This window comes from Homo sapiens, chromosome 22 (genome assembly GCF_000001405.40).
Source record: "Homo sapiens chromosome 22, GRCh38.p14 Primary Assembly".
NCBI lineage: Eukaryota > Metazoa > Chordata > Mammalia > Primates > Hominidae > Homo > Homo sapiens.
Genome location: NC_000022.11, coordinates 27,653,443 through 27,678,803, shown reverse-complemented (window position 1 = coordinate 27,678,803; position 25,361 = coordinate 27,653,443). Strand labels below are relative to the sequence as shown.

General features: G+C 49.7%; 2 long non-coding RNA genes across 2 annotated transcripts in view, besides 5 other annotated features; one reads left to right on the top strand and one right to left on the bottom strand.

Annotated features, from left to right (window-relative positions):
- Nucleotides 1-3,044, top strand: part of CPMER (cytoplasmic mesoderm regulator) — a 39,211-nt gene extending 36,167 nt beyond the window's left edge. The window contains exon 5 of the long non-coding RNA NR_186699.1: nt 1,917-3,044. This is a non-coding gene — a long non-coding RNA (cytoplasmic mesoderm regulator). The remainder of the gene's footprint in view (nt 1-1,916) is intronic.
- On the bottom strand, nt 1,018-4,633 carry LOC124905098 (uncharacterized). Its single transcript, XR_007068040.1, has 2 exons — nt 4,447-4,633; nt 1,018-1,274 (listed from the first exon to the last, which is right to left on the bottom strand). It is a non-coding gene; the product is annotated as an uncharacterized LOC124905098 (long non-coding RNA).
- Nucleotides 9,078-9,372: an enhancer, noted in NCBI's record as "tiled region #2672; K562 Activating DNase unmatched - State 5:Enh, and HepG2 Activating DNase matched - State 5:Enh". NCBI's record gives its function as "activates a minimal TATA promoter and a strong SV40 promoter by Sharpr-MPRA in K562 cells, with weaker activation in HepG2 cells {active_cell/tissue: HepG2 | K562}" and the evidence as "EXISTENCE:reporter gene assay evidence [ECO:0000049][PMID:27701403]".
- Nucleotides 9,078-9,472: a biological region, named in NCBI's record as "Sharpr-MPRA regulatory regions 2672 and 6919".
- Nucleotides 9,178-9,472: an enhancer, noted in NCBI's record as "tiled region #6919; K562 Activating DNase unmatched - State 5:Enh". NCBI's record gives its function as "activates a minimal TATA promoter and a strong SV40 promoter by Sharpr-MPRA in K562 cells {active_cell/tissue: K562}" and the evidence as "EXISTENCE:reporter gene assay evidence [ECO:0000049][PMID:27701403]".
- Nucleotides 10,849-11,348: an enhancer, noted in NCBI's record as "H3K4me1 hESC enhancer chr22:28063419-28063918 (GRCh37/hg19 assembly coordinates)". NCBI's record gives its function as "activates a minimal SCP1, AML or CMV promoter by ChIP-STARR-seq in primed H9 embryonic stem cells {active_cell/tissue: H9 hESC(primed)}" and the evidence as "EXISTENCE:reporter gene assay evidence [ECO:0000049][PMID:30033119]".
- Nucleotides 23,826-24,322: an enhancer, noted in NCBI's record as "H3K4me1 hESC enhancer chr22:28050431-28050930 (GRCh37/hg19 assembly coordinates)". NCBI's record gives its function as "activates a minimal SCP1, AML or CMV promoter by ChIP-STARR-seq in naive H9 embryonic stem cells {active_cell/tissue: H9 hESC(naive)}" and the evidence as "EXISTENCE:reporter gene assay evidence [ECO:0000049][PMID:30033119]".

The following is a 25,361-nucleotide window of genomic DNA, read 5'->3' as shown; positions in this document are numbered from 1 at the left end:
TTGCTAAACAACAGGGTGTAAGCTTGAGGGGGCATCTTGCCACCCTGACGGGAGAGCCTGCCTGACAACAAAGTAGAATGAGAGAAAAATTAAGTTGAAAGAGACACTCAGCTTCCTGTTGGTATTGTGGAGACTCTGGATGCAGCCACACCTGAAACTGTAGCTTCGAGAGTTTTCAGGTATTCAAGAAAACAGATTTATTATTCTTTTTTGTTTCTTAAGCCACTGTGAGTTGTGTTTCTGTCACCTGCAGCCAGGAATCCTGATAATACCACCTAGCAGAAGGGAGTGAAAGTGGGGAGTCATTGATTGGGTCAGGTGGGATGATTTCTCACTGGAGTCCCCCACAGCAGACGAGGTGGCTGAAACTCAGAGAAGGCATTGAACTAGCCCAGAAATAGCCAAAGTTTGAACATGGCTCTGCTTTATAATTTTGATCCACTGCATGCCTTCAGAGGACGGGGAGCTGATGCCCCTTGGTCCAATGTGCTCCTCTCATGGGCCACCCTGCTGCCCATGCAGCAGAGAAGAGGCGGGAGAAGGCGTGTGTCTGGAGCGTGCGAGGAGTTGTGCAGGCGAGCCTCTGTGCGCATCTGGATTGGGGAGCGAAGCAGATGGCCCATCTGACTTCACCACATCGTGTAAGTTTACGGCGTCGGCAGGTTCTCCTCCCCGCTGCGTTTATAGGGATGTCTTCAGGATTTCCTTTTTGATATACGAGAGAGGCGCGTAGGCTGGGGCCCCCTTCGTCAGAGGGTAATCTGTGAGTAAATCACTGTAAACCAGCAGGCAAGTGTTTGCACGGGCCGGAGCCCCGTACGTGCTTTGGGATAAATCTTCTCAGTAACGTGCTTATGCGTGTGACCCTGGGGACGAAACGGCATGAAAAGGTCAATTACAAGGGGCACAGGGAAACTTGCCCTTTGCTCCTGCTCTGGACCAGAGGATAGAACAACAGGATGGTAGGAGGGTGTATTGGTTTCTTAGGGTTGCTATAATAAAATACCACACATGGAAGGGTGTAAGACAACAGAAATTTATTCGCTCATGGTTCTGGAGGCTCGAAGTCCAAAATCAAGATGTCCACAGGGCTATGCTCTCTCTGAAGTTTCTAGGGGAGAATCCTTGCCTGTCTATTTCAGCTTCTCATGGTTTCTGCGATCCTTGGTGGTCCTTGGCTTCTAGATGCGTCACTCCAGTCTCTGTCTCTGTGGTCATAGGGCCTTCTCCTTGAGAGTCTGTGTCACTGTATCCAAATCTCTCTCCTTTTTCTCCTAGAAAGTCACAAATCACTACATAAGGACCTGCTGTAACCAGTCTGACCTCATCTTGATTACAGCTGCAAAGACCCTATTTCCAAATAGAGCCACATTCTGAGGATCCAGGGTGACAAATTTTGGGAGGATAATATTCCATCTGGCACAGAAGGGAAAAGGGAAGTTTTTGTCTGAAGAAGGGGCTTGTCTGGAGGTGAGAGGGGCTTCAAAATCTGTGCATGCCCCTTTGTGGGTACTTCCTTAAGATAGCAAAGCTCACGGCAGCTTCTGTTCTTTCCAACAAATAGGCCTCTATGGGGCCCATATAAGAATGAAGGCATTTCCTCTAACCCAGCAACTCTACTCCTAGGAATATCCCCATTAGAAATATGTCCTTATGGCCATTGGAAGACATATACTAGAATGTTCTCAGCAGAATTATTTCTCTTGGCTGAAAACTGGAAATGCTTATCTTGGCAGATTGCAAAAATAGTCACAGTTCTGTGCAGCCCATCCCATTAGGAGGCAGAGTCTACTTCTTCTCCCTTGAATCTACGTTGGTCACGTGATTTGCTGTGGCCAATAGAATGTGGTGGAAGCAACATGTGCCAGTACCAAGCCTAGGTTTTAAGAGGCCTTTTGCTCTCTTGGAACTTGCAGTTGCTGTGTGAAAAGTCCAGGCTAGCCTGCTGGAGGATGAGTGATGGGTGAAGCAGAGATGAATTTTCAGAGCTGGCTTCATCTGAGACCAGCCAGCCCTAGCTGTGGAAGGCAGACACTTAGCAAACCCAGCCAAGATCAGCCAAGCCCATCCCAGGGCAGAAGAACCACCAAGCTGATCCCAGTCCACATCTACTTCTGGAAGCACGTGCTAAATAAATGGTTGCTGTTTTAAGCCACTGAGCTATGGGAGGCTTTGTTTCCCAGCAATAACTAATTGATAAATCATCAACAGTAAAATGGATAAATGAATTGTGGTACAGGCACACGTGGAATGAAAAACATTAAGGAGAATAAATAAACTACTGCTACACAAGACAACATGGATGAACCTCACCAATACTAAGCCGGGTGAAGGAAGCTCAGCAGGCAGAGTGCATCCTACAAGATGCCTTTTATAGAAAAAGTACAAGAATAGGTGAGAGTAATCTATGGAGAGATAAGTTAGGGTAGTGGTTACCTTTGAGGGGGGACTAAATAGGAGGGGGTTAGCTACTGGGGTGTGTTCACTTGGTGACCATTTGTTGGGCTGTATACTTAACATATGTGCATTTTTGTGCATGTAGTTTATACTTTGGTAAAAAGATTTAAAAATATCAGGTCTCTTGTTTCTTTTCTAGTTGCTGGAGAGCCAGTGGGATTGCATCTTTTGCAGAGGACAGGTCCTTAAGGGCAAAATCGCTTAAGAGTCAAAATGGCCTTGAAAATTCCTTGGGAAGCCGTCATGTTGGAGCCAACCACTATTTCTCAATAATTTCAGCACAGCCAGTTTTTCCTCCTGCGTTGGGACGGATCGCTGTTTCTCCTGTCAAGCTCCAGATACAGTAAAGTCTTGTGTTTAGGGGCCACACAGTGGAGTGGGACACTCACAGGCAGAGGGAGGAACCAGGTGCTCCTACTCAGAGACACGTGGGACCCAACGGGAGGGTTTGGCTTGGAAGAGACACCTTCAAAGTGAGTGGTGTGGGGATTTCCCCATCATATAATGTCCCCTTTGGGGTGTGAGGGGCAAATGTGTTTAGTTAAGTGGATCTTAACTCAGTTAAATTAAATTCATGTATGATGTGAGACCAGCGTGGAAAGGTCTTACCTCTTGATTAACCAATTGTTCTTCCCCAGTCACTCCATTGCTCCTCTTTGAGCCATCCAAAAAGTCACCTCATCTTTCCAGACCTCAGGGTCCTCATCTGTAAATTGGGGGGCATGTGGACTTGGACAGAATGGGCCCTCTCTGTCACTTGGAGAGTCTGGGATTGTAAGCTGCCCTCCGGGAGATCAAAACACCACACGATGCAGGTGGTAAGGGCTGCCATCAACTCTCGGGGTGACCCAGGTCAATGGTCCCTTCTCTGGCTGCCCTCCCCATCTGTGCAATGGGGGTTTTGTCCCATGGTTCTCTTTTTGCAGGCACTGGACAGACGCGGGACACAGGGGCTCTGCTAAGGTCCCTGGTGCTACAGAAGAGGACGGTGATCACCAGGCCCAGGAAGGAGGGTTGCTGGGAATGAAGATCGCAGCCACGCTGCACGATGCAAGGCTAAGGTGCACGCAGTGCGCTGTGGCTTCAGGTCCCGAAAGCACAGGCCTGGGACAGCTTTTCCAGATGGCAAGTCTGCTTTCTCCCAGCCCCAACATGCCTTTCTGAAATGTAAAGCAGCCCAGTCCTGGCCTCAGAATGCTGGGGTGAACAACTGGAGAACGGGGTTCCAGCCACTGCAGATGAATCCAGAGGCACTAGAAACACAGAGAGAGCAAGAAGGAAAGGGAGGGGACACGAGGGACAGGCAGACACCCAGGGGCAGGAGAGAAAGCAGAGGGCCGTCCACTTGGCAAATATTTATTGAGTGCCTACTAGGTGCCAGATGCTGTGTTTGGGGCAAAGAGAGACAGAGGGAGACAGAATGGGAGAGGAGAAAGGAAGAGAGAGAAAGAAAAGGAGTCAGAGAAAGAGAGAGAGGAAGAGAGAAGGGTGGGGAGAGAAAGAGAAAGAGGGAAGGAGAAAGGGAGACAGAGAAAGAGAGAGGAAGAGAGAAAGGGGGAAGAGAGAGAAAGGGAAAGAGAAAGAGAGAAAGGGAGAAAGGGAAAGGAGAGAGAGAGAAATGGCGGGGGGAGACAGAAAGAAACAGAAGGGGAGAGTGAGGAAGAGGGAAAGGGAGTGAGAGAGAAAGGGGGAGAGATAAAGAGATAGAGGGAAAGGGAGGAAGAGGAAAAGAGAAGGGAAAAGGGAGAGAGAGAGATGGAGAAAGAGAGAAAGCAATAGAGAGAGAAAGAAGGAGTGGGGAGAGGGAGGAAGGGGTGGAGAGAGAATGAGACTAGAACCTGGTGGCTGGAGTTTGCAGCTGGGCGGTACAGAATGTTATGGAAACACAGACAGAGCCAGGTCTGACTGCAAAGCTGCAGCTCCTCCCACGATGGATCCTGACTTGGCCCCCCACTCCCCACTCCTCGAATTATACCCTCAGGACCTTACCTGGGGCTGGGTGGGCTGCACAGGAGTTTCCAAGCCTGGCTGCTCACCAGAAGTGTCTGGGAGACCCTCAAAGAAACTCTAGAGTCCTGGGCCTGACTCTGGCAATTTGGCTTCAGGATGATGGTCTGGGGCCTAGGAATCTGTATTTTAGCAGCCACTGCCTCCCAGAGCTCAGCGGGCACGGGAGCCCAGGTGGTGGACACGTGTCCCCGGGGGGCCTCCCCCGGGGCTCCCGCTGCTGTCACTGCCACACACGTCCTTTTGCAAACACACACGGCCCATGATTGATTCTCTGCCGCTCCCCTCACAGCCCCGTGGGTCTGATTGAATGGCCGGCGTGCTGCCCAAACACCCTGCTGGAACCACTTCCCTGCCCTCTGCCCTAGAAGTCGTTTGTTTTTAGACACAGCGTTTATGTCCAGCTGAAAGGACACCAGCCTCCCTGGAGCCACCCCTCTAAGCTGGAGCCAGGCTGGGGACCGTCCCTGGGTGCTGAAGGGACAGAGGGACCTGGGTGCCTAGGCTGGGTGTGGTGGCCCAGGTGCAGCCTCTCACACTCAAGAATGGACACTGAATCCTAGGAGGACTCTCAGGCTTCCTGCATCTAGGTGACACTAGAATTGTTTGGGTGTTTGAAGATATTTTCACCCACCTTGACATTGAGAACAGCTTCAGGGAAGGAATCTTTCCTTCCTCCCTTCTCTTCCTTTATTTATTTATTTTTTTGGGAGTGGGGGTCTCGCTCTCTCACCTAGCTGGAGTGACAGAGCGAGACTGGAGTGTGCAGTGGTGCGATCCTAGCTCATGAGCCTCCAGCTGCTGGGCTCAAGCGATCCTCCTGCCTCAGCCTCCCGAATAGCTGAGACTATAGGCGTGTGCCACCATGCCTGTCTAATTAAAAAAAATTTTTTTGTAGAGATGAGGTTTCGCCATGTGGCCCAGACTGGTCTCAAACTCCTGGGCTCAAGCGATTCTCCCACCTTGGCCTCTGAAAGCACGGAGATTATAGGCGCAAGCCACTGTGTCCGGCCAGAAACTGTTTCCTTTGACATTAATTTTGCACCTCCCATGAACTAGAGCCTAGCAGTCTTGGGTCTGGGCCTATATGAACAAATCCATAGGACAACCTCTGCTTGTCAGAAGACCCGGCTCTGGAATTTAACGGACCTAGGCTTGAGTCTCAGGCGCATGCCTCAGCGTCCTTATGTTTTAAATGGAATGATAAAGCTGGCTTTGGAGGGTGGTTGAGAGGGTTCCCAACACCCTGGATGAGAGAGAAATGCTTAGCACAGGTCTGGCACACAGTAGGTGCTCAGCCCCACTTCCTTTCTTTCTCCTTCTCCTCATCTCTCCTGGTCACTGTCACCTGGCCTTCTACTACCCCCTGGACATGTTCTATAGAGAGGGGAGCACTGGGCCAGGAGCACTAGAACCCTGGGTCCCAATTCTCACTTTTCTGGACCTTGCTGTGCAATGTTGGGCAAATATCTGGCCTTCTCTGGTCTGGCCAGATCATCTCAAGAACACTTTCTCGTGCTGTGGATCCAGGTTGTGACCTCTTGGGAGAACTGGACTCAGTTTCCCCTTTCTGTGTGCTTTCTATCCTGCCTGGTTCACAGTAGGTGCTCCAGGGACAAACATGGAAATGAGATGAGTGGGTCATTAGCGATATCTGGACACCAAACTGTGCAGATCTGGTTTGGAGGCCCTGGCTGTCAGAATGGTGCTCATTCTTCTGGGAGAGCTGGGCCAGGGTGGGGTGGGGGAGGGGAGAGGCTACTGCATTTCTTATTTTTTTGAACCTCTAAGGCCTTATCCTGTTCTTGCAGCCCCAGCCTCCACTCCTAGATGACGTGGGATTAGGGGGCCAGCTCTGGCTTCAGAGACCCCTATTTCTTTTTTTTTTTGAGTCGGAGTCTCGCTCTGTTGCCCAGGCTGGGGTGCAGTGGTGCGATCTCGGCTCACTGCAAGCTCTGCCTCCCGAGTTCACGCCATCCTCCTGCCTCAGCCTCCCGAGTAGCTGGGACTACAGGTGCCCGCCACCACGCCCAGCTAATTTTTTGTATTTTTAGTAGAGACTGTTAGCCAGGATGGTCTGGATCTCCTGACCTCGTGATCCGCCCACCTCGGCCTCCCAAAGTGCTGGGATTACAGGCATGAGCCACCATGCCCGGCCCCTTCTTCTCTCGCCTAACCCACCCCCACTCCCCTCCCCCTCCCCTCCCCCCTCCCCTCCCCTTCCTTCCCTCCCTCCCTTCCTTCCCTCTTTCTCTCCCTCCCTCCCTTCCTCTCTCCCTTCCTCCTGTCTTTCTTCCTTCCTCCCTTCCTTCCCTCCCTCCTTCCTTCCTTCCTCCCTCCCTGCTCCCTCCCTTTCTTTCTTCTTCCCTCCCTTCCTTCCTCCCTCCCTTCCTTCCTCCCTTCCTTCCTCCTTCCCTCCCTGGTCTAGCAAGAGAAAAAAAAAAGGGCCCTGTACACCCACTTGCTACTTCACCCACCAACCCATCCCATCAGCAATGGGTGAGCGAGGCCAGGCCCAGTGCCAGGCAATGAGTATACAGCAGAGAACAAAACCACCCTGGTTTTGCCCTTAAGGGGCTTTGAGCCTGGTGGGGTGACCGCTATCAGCAGGCAGTGTTCAGTCCAGGCTCTGAAATTTAACAGACCTAGGCTTGAGTCTCAGGCGTATGCCTCAGCTTCCTTATGTTTTAAATGGAATGATAAAGCTGGCTTTGGAGGGTTGTTGGGAGGGTTCCCAACACCCTGGATGAGAGAGAAATGCTTAGCACAGGTCTGGCACACAGTAGGTGCCCAGCCCCACTTCCTTTGTTTCTCCTCCCCATCTCTCCTGGTCACTGTCTGTGATCCCCAGGCAGTGTTCACTCAAGATATTGTGTGATGGAGATGCACAGGCCATGGAGGAGCCCATAGAAGGTCCTAAATCAGCTCGAGGCAGCAGCTATCTGGGCAGGCTGCCTGGAGGAGGGGATGTTTAGGAAGACACCTGCAGGAGTTAGCCAGGGGAGGAAGCAAGGGATGGTAAGTGTTCCCGGCAGAGGGAACAGCATGTGCAATCCTCTGGGGTGACAGCAGCACTCTCAGGAACTGAAAGGGGCTCAAAAATGGCTGGAAATGGAAAACCAATAAGACTACCACCATCAACAATCATGGTGGCCTTCTCGATGTGCCCAGCTGCCTCCTGCATGATCTCACTAAGCCCCTCCGGAAATCCACTCCTGTTTTACAGACCAGGAAGCAGAGGCCTGGAGATTCAGAGACTCACCTAGGCCCCGCAGTGTGTATGGGGCCCAGGGCGGAGCTGGGGTTGGATCCAGGCTGCAGAAGCTCAGCCTCCTCCCCAGGACAAACAGCCAGGCTCCGGTGGGGCAAGAGAGGCAGGGTCCTGGGGAAAACTTCCTCCCAGAGCTCCCCCGGGCCAGGCCTGGAGGCCCCGGGGAGGCCCTGCGGGTGGGGGCGGGGCGTGGGAAGGCTGTAAACTGGCTTGGGGCGGTAGGGCTTTCCTGTCGCTGCCGGTGGCCCCCGCCTTTGTCCTCATGTGTCACTGAGGAATGCAGCTACAGTCCAGATAAAGGCAGCTTTGTTTGGAGACCTCAGGAGGGGGAAGGGGGAAGGGGGAAGGTGGGGAAGGGGCAGAAAGAAGCAGGCTGGGGAAGGGGAGGGGTTACCATCACCTCCTGGCTGATCCCAACCCCCTGGCTCTGGGCAGGAAGCACCTATGCCCCCGTGGACACCCACATCCTCTGCCATCCCCTTAAGGCACTTCCTGACTTTGGGCAAGCAGCTCCCTCCTCTCTGAGCCTCAGTTTCCTCATTTGGATGATGGGGATCATCTGTCAACCTCTATGGATAGTTTGGAGGTTCCAGCCAAGTAAGTCATATGGTTGATTTGACTTGCAAGGCATATTGATGACTAAGAAAAAGACAGCCCAGAGAGGTCAAGTGACTTGCCCAAGGTCCACACAGCTTGACCTTGGAAGGAGTGATGCAGTCGGGTGTTTGCCAAGCATTGAGGGGGTGGGGCAGAACGAGGCTGGGATCCCAGGCTGCGCCCTTTGATGTGGCAAGCAAGAATGACAGGTGGTCCCTTGAATGTATGCACTTGCTCATGGAAGCCTCACCAGGGTGGGCGTTGAGTTTGCCCTTGGTCACTACTGTCCCCATGCCCCTCGGTGCCTGGCACAGGTAGGCAGGAATGCTCAATGATTTAAACCCACAGCCTCTGGGGCCAGGCGGCTACCACCTGGGGCTGTGTGATCTTGGGCTAGTCCTGATCCTCTCCATGTCTCAGTTTGCCCCTCTGTAAAACGGATCTAATATGAGGACTCCCCTCACGTGCACAGGCCGTGGAGGAGCCCATAGAAGGTCCCTAAATCAGCCTGAGGCAGCAGCTATCTGGGCAGACTGCCTGGAGGAGGGGATGGGCAAGTTCAAGGAGATGATCTGCACAGAGCCTGGCATCGGTTATTCGGATTAGTGGGACAATGGCTATCTGCTTGCTGGCTGCACAGAGGATTTTCCCAAGGTCATGGCCGAGGGTGCGCTGGGATCAGCCCAGGCTCCTCTGGGCTGTTTCTGCCCAGGAAGGAAGGGTGTGAGTCCTGCAGTGCAGGGGTGAGGCGGTTGAGTGCAGGAGGAGTAGGCATCATGTGCCACCCAGCTCCAGGCCGGGCTCTGCCCTTTTGAGAGGAGGTGTCATGTGGGTCTGGAGCTAAGGGACGTGGCCCCCTGGCCCCTCCTCACAGTGACGGATGTGGACAGACAGATGGTCTAGGGCTGGGCACGCTTAGTCATGGCCCAGATATAACCTGGGCCCCATGGGGCGGCTCCCTCTGTCTCACTGTCTCACAGCAGCTGCAGCCAATCCCAGTGGGTCTGAGGCCTCACTTTGCCTACTGAGTGGGTCTCAGCTCACTCTCTTTGGATGCAAGAGGAAATGGAAGCCCAGAGAGGGGAAGTGACCCACTCAAAGCTGCACAGCAAGCGAGGGACAAAATCATCTGGTCACTCACTGACTTGGCAAATATTTCTGGACTCTGAAGAGTGGACTAAGTCCATCAGGGAAGAACATACCTAGAGAAAGCACTGACTTGGACAAAGGTACAGAGGAGAAGTTCTGTGATGGTTAAGGGTGTGGGTACCAGTCTGCTGGGATCCAAGCCCTCTCTGGCACTTGCTGTGTGACTTAGAGCAAGTGAATCAACTACTCTGTGCCTCTGTTTCCTCACCTGTAAGTTGAAGATATTCACAGTGTTTATGTCATAGGGGTCTTATGAGGATGAAATGAGTTCATTCATGCAAGATGCTTAGCATGGGTCCTGGCACACAGTAGGTGCTCAATAAACAGGAGCTGTTAGGAAGGCATGGGGAATGAAGGACATGTGGAACATGGGAACCACCAGCCAGTGGTTGGTAGGGAATGTCTAGAGCCCAGAGTGGGGTGTTGTGGCCCCATGTGGAAGCTTGGGGAACCAGGGCTTAGCCTTGTAAAGAGAGTGGGTGGGGGCAGGGCAGGGTAAAGGCTGGGAGGTTCTGGCAGGAGGCAGGAATTCTAGGTGAGCAATACTGGGGCGATGAAACTAGAGCAGAAATGGAGGCAGGGACGAGAAGGAGGTGGAAAGGAGGGGCTTGGAACCTGTCTAAATGTGGCAGGAAGAGGAGGGGTGTCATCCAGGAGAACCGTCCCGGGTTCCAGTGGAGGAGAGGAACCTACAAAGGGAGAGATGGAGCCCCTGACTGGTGGGGCCAGCCACTCTCTGAGAGTCTCTGAGGTGCCCAGCCTGGCCCAGGAGGTATCATCATGCTTAGGGTGGCAACAAAATTTGCAGGCTGCCGTGTGAAACAAAACTGCAGTCCTCCTTGTTTAAAAGGCAGGAAAAATGTACAGTAAAGGTACTAAAATAGGAAATGTTTGCCCTTCTTCCGTGAGTCTCTTCTGCTCACCTGCATGCTTCACTGCCCCACTGGGCTTCACTTACAAAACATAGATAGGTGCAGAAATTAAGAATTTCAAGATGGTGGCCGGGCATGATGGCTCACATCTGTAAACCCAGCACTTTGGGAGGCTGAGGTGGGCAGATCACATGAGGTCAGGAGTTCAAGACCAGCCTGGCCAACATGGCGAAACCTTGTCTCTACTAAAAATACAAAAATTAGCTGGGTGTGGTGGCGCATGCCTGTAATCCCAGCTACTTGGGAGGCTGAGGCAGGAGAATCACTTGAACCTGCGAGGCAGAAGTTGCAGTGAGCCGAGATCACGCCACTGTACTCTAGCTTGGGCAACAGAGGAAGACTCTGCCACACACACACACACACACACACACACACACACACACACACACACAAAGAATTTCAAGACGGTAACAGCAAAACATAAACCCAGCTTGGAGCCTTTCTGAGCGCCGGGCTCTGTGCAACTGCAGAGATCTCATGGCCGTAAAGTTGGCCCTGATTCATGCCCATTCTGCAGAGGAGAAAGCTGAAGCTCAGAGAAGTGAAATATCCTGGTATTCTCACTCCAATTCCAGAACCCCCTATATTCTGCACCCCCTTCCAATGCTTGCTCATGTCTAATTGTTATTCACCAATCTCCAGAGAAGGGTTCGAAGCAATTGATGGTAAAATGCAGGAGCTGTTAACACAGGTGCAGTGGAAGGCACACCATGACCCTGAGGGAGGACGCCGGCCTGGGAGCTGTGTGACCTTGGATGGGCCGTGCAAACTCTCTGTGCCCACAGTCCCTCTGCAGAGACTGGTTCAGAACTCCTGTTTCCCCAGCCCCCAAGCCTTGCCTCCCTTCCTGACCCATATTCCCCTTGGTGTCTGAGGCTTGAAGCGGTTATAAAAAATAAAACCACAGTCCCCTGATGTGCTTTCTGGCTTCTCAGGCCTTATTTTTTTTGGCCGCTAAGGAGACTAATAAATGGCTTGCCACTTGACGTAATCATTAAGGGCTCCACTGAGCTGTGGGCAGTGTTTTCTCTCCTCCTTGGCCGGGCCTGGGGCGCACAGCCACCGAGGGTGGCAGTGATGGATGGTGTCATCATGGGGCTTGCCCGGGGGAAGTGCTGGTGGTGGTCGGCCATGGCTCTCTCTCCTGCAGGCTCCTGGGCTATTCATTATGCGAAGGAGGAGCTGAAGCGTGGGGGTGACGGCTGGCTTCCAGAAGGAGCATGGACTGGAATTCCAGGCGGAGTGTGGGCCAGGGTGTATATAAAGATTAGTGTTCGGGTGCAAAGAGTCAATTGATGAGTGGCCAATAAACAGAGGGAAGGAAAGCAGGGTATAATCCAATAATATACATTAAAACATTTTCTGAAGTTAGAAAATTGGTAAAAACTTTAAAAATAGAATTAAAAAATTAAAAATTAAAAAATTACGTGATTGTTTGCAAAAATGTTCTTAATTTGCCTCCCTTCTCTGTATCTGTATCCTTTGCAATGTGGCTTTGCAGTTCCTCCCATCAAGAGATAGAGTCTGTTTCCCACTCCTTGAATCAAGCCTCAGTCATGTGACATGTTTTGGCCAATAGAATGTGGTGGATGTGATGATGTGATTCTGTACCTGTTCTGAACCTCGGCCATAAGGGACTTGCAGCTTCGATTTGCTAACCTGAAATTCTGCTGCTGCCATGGAACAAGCCTGGGCTAGCTTGGGGGAGGAGGAGAGACCATGTGGAGTAGAGCCAAGCTCTGGACATTTGAGAGAGCCCGGTAATAATCAGCAAAATCAGCCAGTGATGCACAAGTAGGCTGATTGAGATCAGAAGAACCAGCTGACTGACCTGTGGATGCATGAGCAATAATAAATGCTTACTATTTTAAGCCATTGAGTTTGGTAATGGTTTGTTACACAGCAATAGCTGACTGATACAAATCATAATGCCCAGTATTGGTGATGGTGTGGGGAAATAGGCTTTCTCACACATAAGTAGCAGAACAGTTTGCTAAAATTTTGCATATCCATTGAAGCAACAACAACAACAACAAAAAATGAAAGGGTTATTATGGAGATTCTTTTTTTTTTTTTTTTTAAGAGACAGGATTTCATTTTGTCACTCAGGCTGGAGCTCAGTGGTGCAATCATAGCTCACTGCAGCCCCAAACTCTCGGGCTCAAGTGATCCTCCCACCTCAGCTTCCTGAGTAGCTGGTATTACAGATGTGTGCCACCAAGCCTGGCTACTTTTTCTTTAATTTTTTGTAGAGATGGGGTCTACCTATGTGGTCCAGGCTAATCTCGAACTCCTGGCCTCAAGCAATCCTCCCGCCTTGGCCTCCCAAAGTGCTGAGATTCCAGGTGTGAGCCACTGCTTGGAGATTCAATGCCTGGGCCAAATGCCTAGCATAACACTTAACACTTAAAAAATGCCCAACATGTCTTGGTCCCTTCTCTGTGGGCATATCACAAAGGGCAACAACATTTGGAAAGCTTATTCATAGTCTCTGTTTTGGGGATGGATTCCTTTAGAAATCCTAAAGAATTTGTTTCTTATGGACAAAGATTTTATCAACGAGGATGTCATGACAGCATTGATTATAGCAGATCAGTAGAAACAAACAACCTGACCAATGCTGTTACAACACTAGTAATAACCATTGTTACTTATTTTGCTGTTTTGTTTTTGCTTATTACCACTTATTTTTACTTACATTGCTTGAATCAATTAAGGTCTAGCTACAGGCTGAAATTCAGTTCAGCCATAAAATTAGGTCTTAGAAGAGGACTTATAGACATAGGGAAATACACTTTCTTACATATAACCAGCAGAGGGGCAGTTTGCTAAAACTTTGCATTTCCATTGAAGTAACAAAAAGATGGAAAGGTCTTTATAGGTTCAAGGTAATATTATCATTTTGTGGGTCAAATGTTCAGGCTGTTAAATGAGAATAAAACCAGATTACAAAATAGAATTACATTGTGATCTCCATATACCTGAAAAATTGTTGTTTTACATCTGTCTCTTTCTTTCTTTAAATCTGTGCAGAAAAAAAATATCTGGAAGAGAGTAATCTATTATAAGATGTTGTCTGGGTTTGTCCCTGATGTTGGGCTACAAGTCTCTTTTTGGTCTTCATCTTAGTGCATTTATTTTAAGCTTCTTCTGTGCCAGATGCATACATTTGGAGTCTCTTTTACTCCTTACAATGAATCTGTGATGTGAGTACTAGGACTGTCCCCATTTCACAGATGACGACATTAAGGGTTTGAGAAGCACCTTGCCTGATGTTCCACAGCTAGTAATATAGGCAAATACCTACATTGCCAGATTGTCTACAATATGCATTTACTGTCTTGATAAAATTAGAAAAAAAACCCTGAAGTTAATTTTTAACAAAAGAAAGACGGAAGATCAGTAACCACCCTCAAGATGTAATGGTGTCATCCAAGATGGGGCCCTGGGCAGACAGGAGCTCCTGGATAGATTTGAGGATTCTAATGGGCCTGATTTTATGGGACGATGACCATCATAGGAGGCTGCGTGAATAGTGGTGCAGAGTGGGAACCGAGGAGAGTGACTGTCACGGTCCATGTGGGGCCAGTAGTACATCACACTCAGAGAGACCTTGACCCCTGGGGGCACTGACTACAGACCCTCAGCTCCACAAGGGACAGGACGTGTCTGCTGTGTGCTTGGCTGGATCCCCAGAACCCTGCAAAGCTCCAAAAGTAGGAGCTCAAGGAACATGAGTTAAGTGAGTGAATGAATGAATGAAATCAGAAGCCAGTGGCCAAGATGAGGAGGGATCTGGAGAAATGAGAAATAGTGCCTGCTGGGCGTGGTGGCTCACGCCTGTAATCCCAGCACTTTGGGAGGCCGAGGCAGGTGGATCACTTGAGGTCAGGAGCTCGAGACCACCCTGGCCAACATGGTGAAACCCCGTCTCTACTAAAAATACAAAAATTAGCTGAGCATGGTGGCACGTGCCTGTAATCCCAGCTACTCGGGAGGCTGAGGCAGAATAATTGCTTGAACCCAGGAGCCGAAGGTTGCAGTGAGCCAAGATGGTGTCACTGCCCTCCAGCCTGGGCGACAGAATGAGACTCCATCTCAAAAAAAAAAAAAATTAAATTAAAAATAAATAAATAAATGAGCAACGGTATGGGAACAACTGCTGGTGTCTCCCCACCAGCCCACTGCACTCTCTCAAATTCCCCCACTCGTGTTTCCTTCTTGGTTTGCAAAAAAACAAGAGCCCCTCCTGCCCTCTTCTGCTGAAGTTCCCCTTTGCATTTTCCAGACCTGGAGGAACCCTGAGAAACGATCTCACCTTACATTCTCAGTTGAGATTTAGCATTTTTTTTTTCAAACAATCTTTTCACTCTGATGAACAAAGAATTAGTCACTGGGGAAAACGGGAAGAGTGATAAAAATATGATGGAGCAGAACGCTGCCCCTGCCCCACCTTTCACCTTTCCACCAGCAGAACAATCAGGGTTGACATTTGGCAGCTCTAGCTGCTTTAGGTGTTGGGGGCCACCTACAATTTGAGTCAAACAGGAGATTCCTCCGCTTCTTCACACTTCACAAAGGTCTGGTCTGTCATGTGGAGAGGAGGTGCGATCTGTTCAGGGTCTCTCAGTGAACCAGGGGCAGGCCTGGGGCCGGGACCTGTGCTGCCTGCCTTGTGCACTTATTGGACAATCGTGGTTGGGTGCTATCTGTACATGAAGACAGAATTGAGGCAGAGAAGAGTGTAGTGGTAATCCCAGCACTTTGGAAGGCTGAGGTGGGAGGATCGATTTGAGGCTAGGAGTTTGAGACCAGCCTGGGCAACATGGTGAGACCTTACCTCTACAAACAAAATAAATAAATAAAAAATAGCCAGGAGTGGTGGCACAAGCCTGTAGTCTCAGCCACTCAGGAGGTTGAGGAGAGAGGATTGCTTGAGCCCAGGAGGTCAAGGCTGCAGTGAGCTATCACCTCGCCACTGCACTCCAGCTTGTGCAGCAGAGCAAGATCCCATCTCTAAAAAGAAAAAGAAAAAAGAGCAAAGCAGGCTCCAAAGCAGGTGGGAGATGTTTCTCTGAGAGGTGACCTCTGAGCTGGGGCCTGAGGAATGAGGAGCGGCAGGAAGGCTGGAGGAAATGCCCAGGGTGAAGGCCTGGAGGCTGGCTTGGTGTGAGCAAGGCAAAGAGTGAGAGGAGACGGGGTCAGATTGCTGGGCAGGGCCAGGACACACAGGGTCCTGAAGGCCATGGTAAAAGGTGAGCAGAGGGTTTTAAGCAAGGGGGAGACGTGACTGGATTCATGTCCTAAAAGGCCACTGGCTGCCGTGGGGCTGAGGCTGGAGTTCTGCCGAGGCTCTGCAAGTCCAGCCCCTGGCACATGGTTCTGATGGGACCCTGCCCTCCCTCCAGCCCTCTGGCATCTCTCCCAGGGAGAGCGCAGTGGGTGGGTCCATTGGCTGGGCCACAGGCCAAGGCCTCCTTGCATCAGGGAGATAGTGGATGGGGGTCAGGGAGCGCCTGCCCTCACTGCAGGGAGATGGGAACAGCAAATCCCTTCCCCGGCCTGGCTGGGGCCTGCCTGCCCTGCACGCTCCCAGTGACATCCCACTCCCGTTCCAGGCATCTGCCAAAGCAAGGCTGGCTGTGTTCTGCTTTGCTCAGCTTCCCTGTGACTTCAGTGTCATGCCATGTGAGGGGCCCAATGACCACAACTCACTGGGCATCCAGGTCAGGCCAGAGCCTGAACTAAGCACCTCTTATCAGCTCTGGCATATCACACCGGCCCCCCCAGGCTCAGACTCAACCAACGCTCAGGGACACGAAGTCACCTGCTGAGGGTCACACAGCCCATCATGGGTGCAGTGTAGGACACATCTCTGCAGGTCCCTCCTGCTCCACCCTAGGCTGTACCTCTCAGCCCTTGGGGATGCCCAACACTAGGTGAGAGGAAGAAAGGTGGGGGAAGGGTGTTCCAGCCAGTGGGAACAGCATATACCAAGTCCTGGGTGGACAGTGTATATATTTTTTTGTAATTGCGTTATTGAGATACAATTTACATACCATACAATTCACCCATTTGAAGTACAATTCAATGGTTTTTTTTTTTTTTTTTTTGAGACGGAGTCTCACTCTGTCACCCATGCTGGAGTGCAGTGGTGTGATCTCGGTTCACTGCAGCCTCTGCCCCCAAGGTTCAAGTGATTCTCCTGCCTCAGTCTCCCGAGTAGCTGGGATTACAGGTTCGTGCCACCACGCCCGGCTAATTTTTTGTATTTTTAGTAGAGATGGGGTTTCACCATGTTGGTCAGGCTGGTCTCGAACTCCTGACCTCAGGTGATCTACCGGCCTTGGCCTCCCAAAGTCTTGGGATTACAGGCGTGAGCCACCATGCCCGGCCTTAATGGTTTTTAGTATAGTCAAGAGTTGTGTAACCATCACTACTGTCAAATACCAAAACATTGTCATCACCCCCAAAAGAAATCCTATAATGTTAGCTATCACCCCCTACCCCCTGACAATCATTAATCCATTAATACTTTCTGTCTCTACAGATTTTCCTATTCTGGATATTTCAGATAAATGGAATCATACAATATGAGACCATTTGTGTCCGGCTTCTTTTTTTTGAGACAGGGTATTACTCTGTCACTCAGACTGGAGTGCAGTGGGACGATCATAGCTCACTGCAGCCTCGACTTCCCTGGCTCAGATCATTCTCCCACCTCAGCCTCCTGGGTTGCTGGGACTACAGGTGTGTGCCACCACACCCAGATCATTTTTTTGGTATGATTTGTAGAGATGAGGTTTTGCCATGTTGTCCAGGCTGGTCTTGAACTCTTGGGCTCAAGTGATCCCGCCTTGGCCTCCCAAAGTGCTGGGATTATAGGTGGGAACCTCCATGCCTGGCGGCATCTGGCTTCTTAGCACAATGTCTTCCAGGTTCATCCAATTTGTGGCATGTGTCAATGCCTCATTTCTTTTTATGGCTGAATAATATTCAATTATGATAGATATACCACATCTCGCTTATCCATTCACTTTCTGAATAATGCTGCTATGAACATTCATGTGCAAGCATTTGTGTGTTCACGTTTTCATTTTCTCGGGCATGACCCTAGGAGGGGCATGTCTGGGCCAAATAGGAATTCTATGTTTAACTCTTTGAGGAATTGACAGGCTTTTCTAATACAGGTTTTTTAAAAATAGTGAATATATAATATGTGTGCATCTGCATGTGCACTTGTATTTATATGTATGCGTTAAGTATGTGAACACAATTGTATATGTGTCTGTGTTAACTTGTCTTTCATGGCTGGGTGCAGTGGCTCACGCCTGTAATCCCAGCACTTTGGGAGGCTGAGGCAGGTGGATCATTTGAGCTCAGGAGTTCGAGACCAGCCTGGGCAACATGGTGAAACTCTATCTCTACAAAAAATTCAAAAATTAGCTGGCGTGTTGGCATATGCTTATAGTTCCAGCTACTGGTGAGGCTGAGGTGGGAGGATCGCTGGAGCCCAGGAGGGAGAGGTTGCAGTGAGCCGAGATTGTACCAGTGTACCCCAGCCTGGGCAACAGAGCCAGGCCCTGTCTCAAAAAAAAAAATATATATATATATATATATCTCCTTTGTAAGTAGTAGTTGTCATGATCTTGCTTCTCCCACACACAGGAAGCCGGGAAGGGCATTCCTGGCAGAAGGATCAGTGTGGACAAATGCTGGGAGCTAGGAGTGAGAAGTGGAAGGGAATTCTCGCTTTGGAAAGTGCTGGAAAGTGGCTGGGTCCACAGTAAGCCCCCACATTTGAGCTCATACATCTTCTTTCTGCCCGCAGCTTCTCATGCAAATCATATGCAAATCTCTCCCCTCCCATCAGCCCCGCGGCACTCAGAGGAGTGGGAAATATTCTCGATTGGGCCCTTCCCTTCATTAATTTCCAGGTCGTAGTACATTACTCACAGATAATTAAGAGTGAGCTATTAATACAACATTTAATATTCAAGTGCAGCGAAGAGGAGAGAATTGTAAGTCACAGAATCCAATACGACAAGAGATTGCGGTTTAGCGATGATATATATATATATATATATATATATATATATATATATATATATATATATTTTTTTTTTTTTTTTGCCTTCCAGATGCTCAGGACTATTTTTCGCTGAAATGTGGACCTGAGAACTTCATGTATTGATAGAACACGAATACACCTTAAATCACCAGCAAACCCATTTGAAGGGCCCAGGAGATATGGCTGGACAGTGACTACACCCGGAAGTGTAACCGTCTCCATGGGGCATGTCCGGATCGAGGAGGTGGCCTGCCTGTCCCTTGGCTGGCTGGGTACTGATGTGGGGGAGGTTGGGCAGAGGTAGAGACAAAGAAGGAAATGTGGAAATGTGATGGTTCCTGTCCACACCTGGGGTGGGAGGTGGGGTGGGGGATGGAGCAGCTGGATTCTGTTCATCCCCAAACTCCCCTTTATCCTGGCTGGAGGCTAAGGCAGCCTGGACTATCCTGATGCCCTTCCCTGTACGACCTTGAAAATAAGGACTCGGCCGGCCGCGATGGCTCATGCCCGTAATTCCAGCACTTTGGGAGGACCAGGGGGGCAGATCACCTGAGATCGAGAGTTGGAGACCAGCCTGGCCAACGTGGTGAAACCCCATCTGTACTAAAAATACAAAACTTAGCTGGGCGTGGTGGCGGACGCTTGTAATCCCAGCTACTTGGGAGGCTGAGGCAGGAGAATTGCTTGAACCCAGGAGCTGGAGGTTGCAATGAGCAGAGATCGAGCCATTGCACTCCAGCTTGGGCGACAAGAGCGAAACTCCATCTCAAAAAAAAAGAAAGAAAGAAAGAAAGAAAATAAACACTCTGTTGTGTCTCAACCTCACTGATCTCCAGAAAAAGAGCTCAGTAAATATGGAGTGATGGAGTCGAACATCTCTGAGCATCTTGGGGGCCTCAGTTTCCAAAGCCATAAAATGGACTCTCCGTGGAATAATCGTGAAGGGCCAGTGCCCAACTTCCTCTGCTTAGAGGGAGCAAGTACATGTGACATGGGAGTGTCACCTCAATGCCAGAAGCCATTTGTCACCGAGGCTGCTTGGTGTATGTGGCTGGCAGACCTGGGTCACATCTTCGGACTGCAGCTCGCTGGCTATGTGTCCAGTCCTTTCGACCACACTGGGGATCCACCTCCTGATCTGCAAAGTGGGGATAGGGTTGTCTCTAGGCCATTCACACTTAATGCACAGAAAGGGCTTCACACATCCTGAGTGCTCGGTAGGTAAGTGGTACCTGCGGCTGGCATATGTGGTTCTGTTGTTTTGACAGTGGCTTTGGCTGTGAGCTGATTGAGTGGCCCATGGGGTGGTCGGTGGATGGAGGTGGGCCTGCAGGCAGAGGTGTGGAGCGGGAAGGAAAGCCTACTCTTCACCAGGCATGAGCTGGGCATGCCCATGCTTAGCGTGTTAACTGGATGGTCTAACACTCACAACCAACCTGCAAGGCATCATCATGTTGCTTCGTTTTACAGGTGAGCCTGGGGAGGCCCAGAGACATCAAGGCACTTGCCCAAAGGCACCCAGCAGAGCCTGGGTCTCCTGGAATCTCTGTCTCCAACGCCTGTGCTGTGATCTCTTGTTTGGGACTCATGGGAATGCTGGGTGGAGAGGCGGGAATACGGTGGCAGCCAGCTAAGGCTCAGAGTTAGATTGGCCCGAGTTTGAGTTCCACCTTGGCCCTGTGTAATCCTGGGAATGTCATACCTTGCCCCATCACCTGGGCCTCTCATCTTGAACTGGGAATAATGGAATCAGAACCAACCTGCTGGGGTCATTCTGCAAGGCAAACAGGTCAGTGTCCTCCAGGCTGTTTCTGGGCCCATAGGAATTGGCCAAAATACATCTTACCATTGGGGATTAGCCTGTGTGGCTGACAGACCTGGGTCACAGTGAATCAATCTCCAGTGAATTAGCATCCATCTGTGTCCATGTCACAGATGAGAAAACGGGTTCGTAGAAGAAAAGCAACCTCCAAGGTCACAAATAAATGAACTGTTTGAATCCAAAGTGAGCCTTACTACATCCCAGCCATAATTGTATTAGTTGGTAATATAATAATAACAAAACTGATATTCTTATTAATTTCTTCTTATACTGATCCCTCCCTAGCACCCCCAGAATTTGTGGATGATGAGCCTCCAGGGTCTCTCCAGAGGAGGAATCCCAGAAAGAGACTGTGTCCAAGGTCACATAAGAGCCAGACGTAGTGAGAAAGAGGTGATAGCTCAGGGACCATATTTATGATTTCCTCTGAATTCTGGGTCTGGCAAGGTAATCACTTCCCTTAATTCATTAATTCAACAGAAACTCACAGATCACCTACTCATCTCCTGCATGTTGGATACTGAGGCAGCTGAGATAAGTTTGCCAGAGACCCTGCACTTTGGGAGTACACAATCTATTAAGGAACCCAGATTCATATACTAGTGTGGCTGTGGGCTTGAGACCCACAATGCCCAGACTCTCATGCATGGCAAGCGTGTTACAGCTTACACAGCCTGTGTGTTTCGTTTGTCTCATTTGAACATCCAACAAGCAGTGCCTTGGAGCTGGCCTTATGATGTCCATTTTGCAGATGAGGAGATTGGGTTCAACTCAGAGAGGACACAGCCTTGCCTAAGACCATGCAGTGAACCAGTGGCAAAGGCAGCATGCATTACAATAGCAGCTACTTACTCTTAACAGGGAGTTTTATGTCCTAATTCATCGAATGCTCACAGTGACTGTAGGAGGCAGGGGCTGTCATGATCCTTATTTTACAGATGAGGAGATGACAGATTAAAAGAAGGTGTCATTGCTTGAGGTCACATCGTCATCCACACAGCCTGGATCTCCAGGCGGGACTGTTTGACCCTGAAGCCAGACTCTTCTCTGCTAGACCCTCTCTTGGGGGAAAGTCAAGGTATTCTGTGAGCTTTGTGAACACCGGGAACATGCCTGTCTCCTTCCTTGTTATAGCCTGGCTTAAGAAAGTCTTATTGAATGAATGAAAGAACAAAGGAAGGATGTTAGGTTTCCCCATTCACCCATCAACCTATGGACTGAAGGTGTGTGTCCCCCTAAATTAATATGTTGAAGCCCTAACCCTCTGTGTAGCTACATTTGAAGATGGGATCTCTAAGGAAGTGATTAAAGTTAAATTAGGTCATAAGGGTGGGGCCCTGAACTGATAGGATTAGTGTCCTTATAGGAAGAGACACCAGAGCTCTCCCTCTCTCTGTGTCTCTGGGCACACAAAGAGGAAAGGCCATGTGAGCACACCATGAGAAGGCAGTTGTCTTCAAGCCAGGAAGAGAGCCCTCACCAGAAACAGATCAGTTGGAATCTTGATCTTGGACTTCTACCCTCAAGAACTGTGAGAAAATAACTTTCTGTTGTTTAAACCACTCAGTCTTAGGTATTTTGTTATGTCAGCTTGTCTTAGTCAGTTGGGGTGCTATAAAAATGATCTTACACTGGGTGGCTTAAACAATACAAATGTATTTCTTATAGTCTGAAATCAAGGTAGCAGCATGGTTGGGTTCTGGTGGGGCCCCTCTTTCTGGTTTGCAGATGGCTGTTTTCTTGCCAAGTTCTTGCGTGGCAGAGAGCAGAAAGAGAGAAAACAAGTACTCCCCTGTCTCCTCTTATAAGGGCACTAATCCCATCATGAGGGCTCCATCCTCATGACTTACTTACTTCCCCAACTCCCCACCTTCTAAAGCCTTCCCACTGGGGAGTGGGGTTTCAACATATGAATTTTGTGGGGCACATAAACTTGTAGTGCATAATACAGCCTGAGTAAGTTAACACATTCTATTTCCCTTCTCCTTTCCTTCCTTCCATCCACCCATCCATCCATTCATCCATCCATCCCCCCATCCATTCACATCCATCCATCATTCAACTCTTCCTCCCTCCCTTCTTTCCTTCCTTTTTGCCTTCCTTCCTTCCTTTCTTCCTCCTACCCATCCATCCACATCCACCCATCATCATTCAGCCCTTCTTCCCTCTCTCTCTCCCTTCCTCCATTCCTTCCTTCCATCCTTCAACCCTTTCATCCATCTATCCATCCATTAATTAATTTTCCCTCCCTCCCCTCATCTACCTGTCTCTTTAGTATACCCTTCCTCCTACCCATCCTTACTTCCTCCCATCCATCCATCCATTATTCAACTCTTCCTCCCTTTCTCCCTCCCTCTCTTCCCCCTTCCCTTCCCCTTCCGTCCTTCCTTCCTCCTACCCATCCTTTCATCCTTTCATCTATCCATCCACCCGTCCATATCCACCCATCATCATTTAATCCCTTCTTTCCTCCCTCCCTCTCTCCCTCCCTTCCTCCATTCCATCCTTTCATCCTTCAATCATTTCATCCATCTATCCATTCATTTTTTAATCCTCCCTCCCCTCATCCATCTGTCCCTCTAGTATACCATTCCTCCTACCCATCCTTCCTTCCTCCCATCCATCCATCCATCCATCCATCCATCCATCCATCACTCCTTCAACTCTTTCTCCCTCTCTCCCTCCCTCTTTTCCCCACTTCCTTCCCCTTCCTTCCTCTCTTCCTTTCTTCCTCCTATCCATCCTTTCATCCTTTCATCTATCCATCCACCCATCCATATCCATCCATCATCATTCAGCCCTTCTTCCCTCCCTCCCTCTCTCCCTCCCTTCTTCCCTTCCATCCTTCTATGCTTCAATTCTTTCATCCATCTATCCATCCATTGGCTAATCCTCCCTGCCTCCCTTCATCTACCCGTTCTTCTACTACACCCTTCCTCCTATCCACCATCCTCCATCCCACCCATGCACTCTAGGGAGAATCAGTGCCACCCTCACCGTCGCACTGCACTCTGTGCCAAAGCGTTACCCAAAGCACACCAAAGTCTGCTCTTGGGACTCAGCCCAGGGATCAGTAGGATTCCTCTGTGTATTTTCCATTCACGGCACCTTATGGAAGTGGTCTCTCTTAGTCAAGTTACACTATCCCAAACTTGTTAAGTCACACTATCCCAAACTAACCCCTCAAATTTGGTTTAAAAGAATTCCAATCAGCCATTTGTTTGCACAATGAGATAACAAACAGAAAATTAATTTTATGTACACAGATAGAAATGACGAAATCCCAACAGCTGCCCAGATATTTCATGCTGCAGAGGCCAGAGCTTTTAGGGAGGCCTTCTCAAGGGAAGGCTGGCCTGGAGAAGCCAGGTACCTGGGGGAAGGTTGGGAAAACTCCCGACAGCCTTCCCTACTTGCTCCACCTTGGCCCCGCCCAGGCCGGCTCTGTGCAAATCACCCAGAAGCCTCATTTGCATCCACAACAGCTCATTTCCATACCTTCCAGCTCTGGGTGGCGAGGCTGCCACTGGGCTGTGGGACAGCAGTCCCTTTTGTTTTCCCATGCCATCCAGGGAGTTGCTCCTTCATCCTTCAAAGATGGAAAAAAAAAAAAAAAAAAAAGAAAAGGAAAAGAAAGAATGCAAGTGAGAAAAAAGAAAAAGGAAAGGGGAAGAAACCCTCAAGACAAAGAGACCGGCACCATCTGGGCAACAGGAAGGGAAGAAAATACCACTGTCTGGAGTTTGGACCCTGGGGAAGCAGGCGACAGAGGGACGGGGCCTCAGGGCTGGCTGGAGTAGAGGATCTTGGAATTGTCAGAACTGGCTCAAATCCCAGCCTCGTCATTTACTTGGCTTTGGGATCTTGGGCAGGTGACTGGGAGGCTCATGCCTCTGTTTCCCCATCTGGGACATGGTACTCTCACACCATTGACCTATGGCTGCTTGGAGAACTCCCAGGGGGCTGTGTGGACATTGCCTGGCATGCAGTGGCCCCTCAGTGCTTGCTCCCCTGATCATTCCTGCTGCAGACCTCGGATGGCAAAGGGACTGTCACGTCTGAGCTGGTGGCACTGCCTGGCACACCCTCTTCTGCACGACCAGTTGTGTCCACCCTGGCTCTGCCCTGCCCCTTTCCCTCTCTGGGCCTCAGTTTCCCCAAGGTGGTGGAACTCCAGCTCCAAAGGCTGGTGCCCTTTAGTCCTCCCCTCTTACTCCTGTGTTTAGCAAATTGCAACAAAAGCCAAGGTATAGTGATGATAATGCTAATGAGGATGATGATAATAATATGAATATATTTTTTAATTTTTACTTTTCGTGGGTATGGTATATATACCTATGGAGTACATGAGCTATTTTGACACAGGCATGCAATACCTTTTTTTTTTTTTTTTTTTGAGATGGAGTCTTGCTCTGTCGCCCAGGCTGGAGAGCAGTGGCGCGATCTCGGCTCACTGCAAGCTCTGCCTCCCGGGGTTCACGCCATTCTCCTGCCTCAGCCTCCCAAGTAGCTGGGACTACAGGCGCCCACCACCATGCCTGGCTAATTTCTTTTTGTATTCATGGTAGAGACGGGGTTTCACCTTGGTAGCTAGGATGATCTCGATCTCCTGACCTTGTGATCCGCCCGCCTCGGCCTCCCAAAGTGCTGGGATTACAGGCATGAGCCACGGTGCCCAGCCTCAGGCATGCAATACCTAATAATCACATCAGGGTAAATGGAGTATCCATCCCCTCAAGCATCTATCGTTTATGTTACAAACAATCCAATTATACTCTTTTAGTTATTTTAAAATGTAAAATTAAATTATTACTGACTATAGTCGCCCAGTTGTGCTAGCAAATACTAGGTCTTATTTATTCTTTCTAGCTACTTTTCTGTACCCATTAAGAATTCCCACTTCCCCACATCCCTCAACTACACTTCCCAGCCTCTGGTAACCATCCTTCTACTCTCTGTCTCCATGGGTTCAATCGTTTTAATTTTTGGCTCTCTCAAATAAGTGAGACATGTGAAGTTTATCTTTCTGGGCCTTGCTTATTTCACTTAACATAA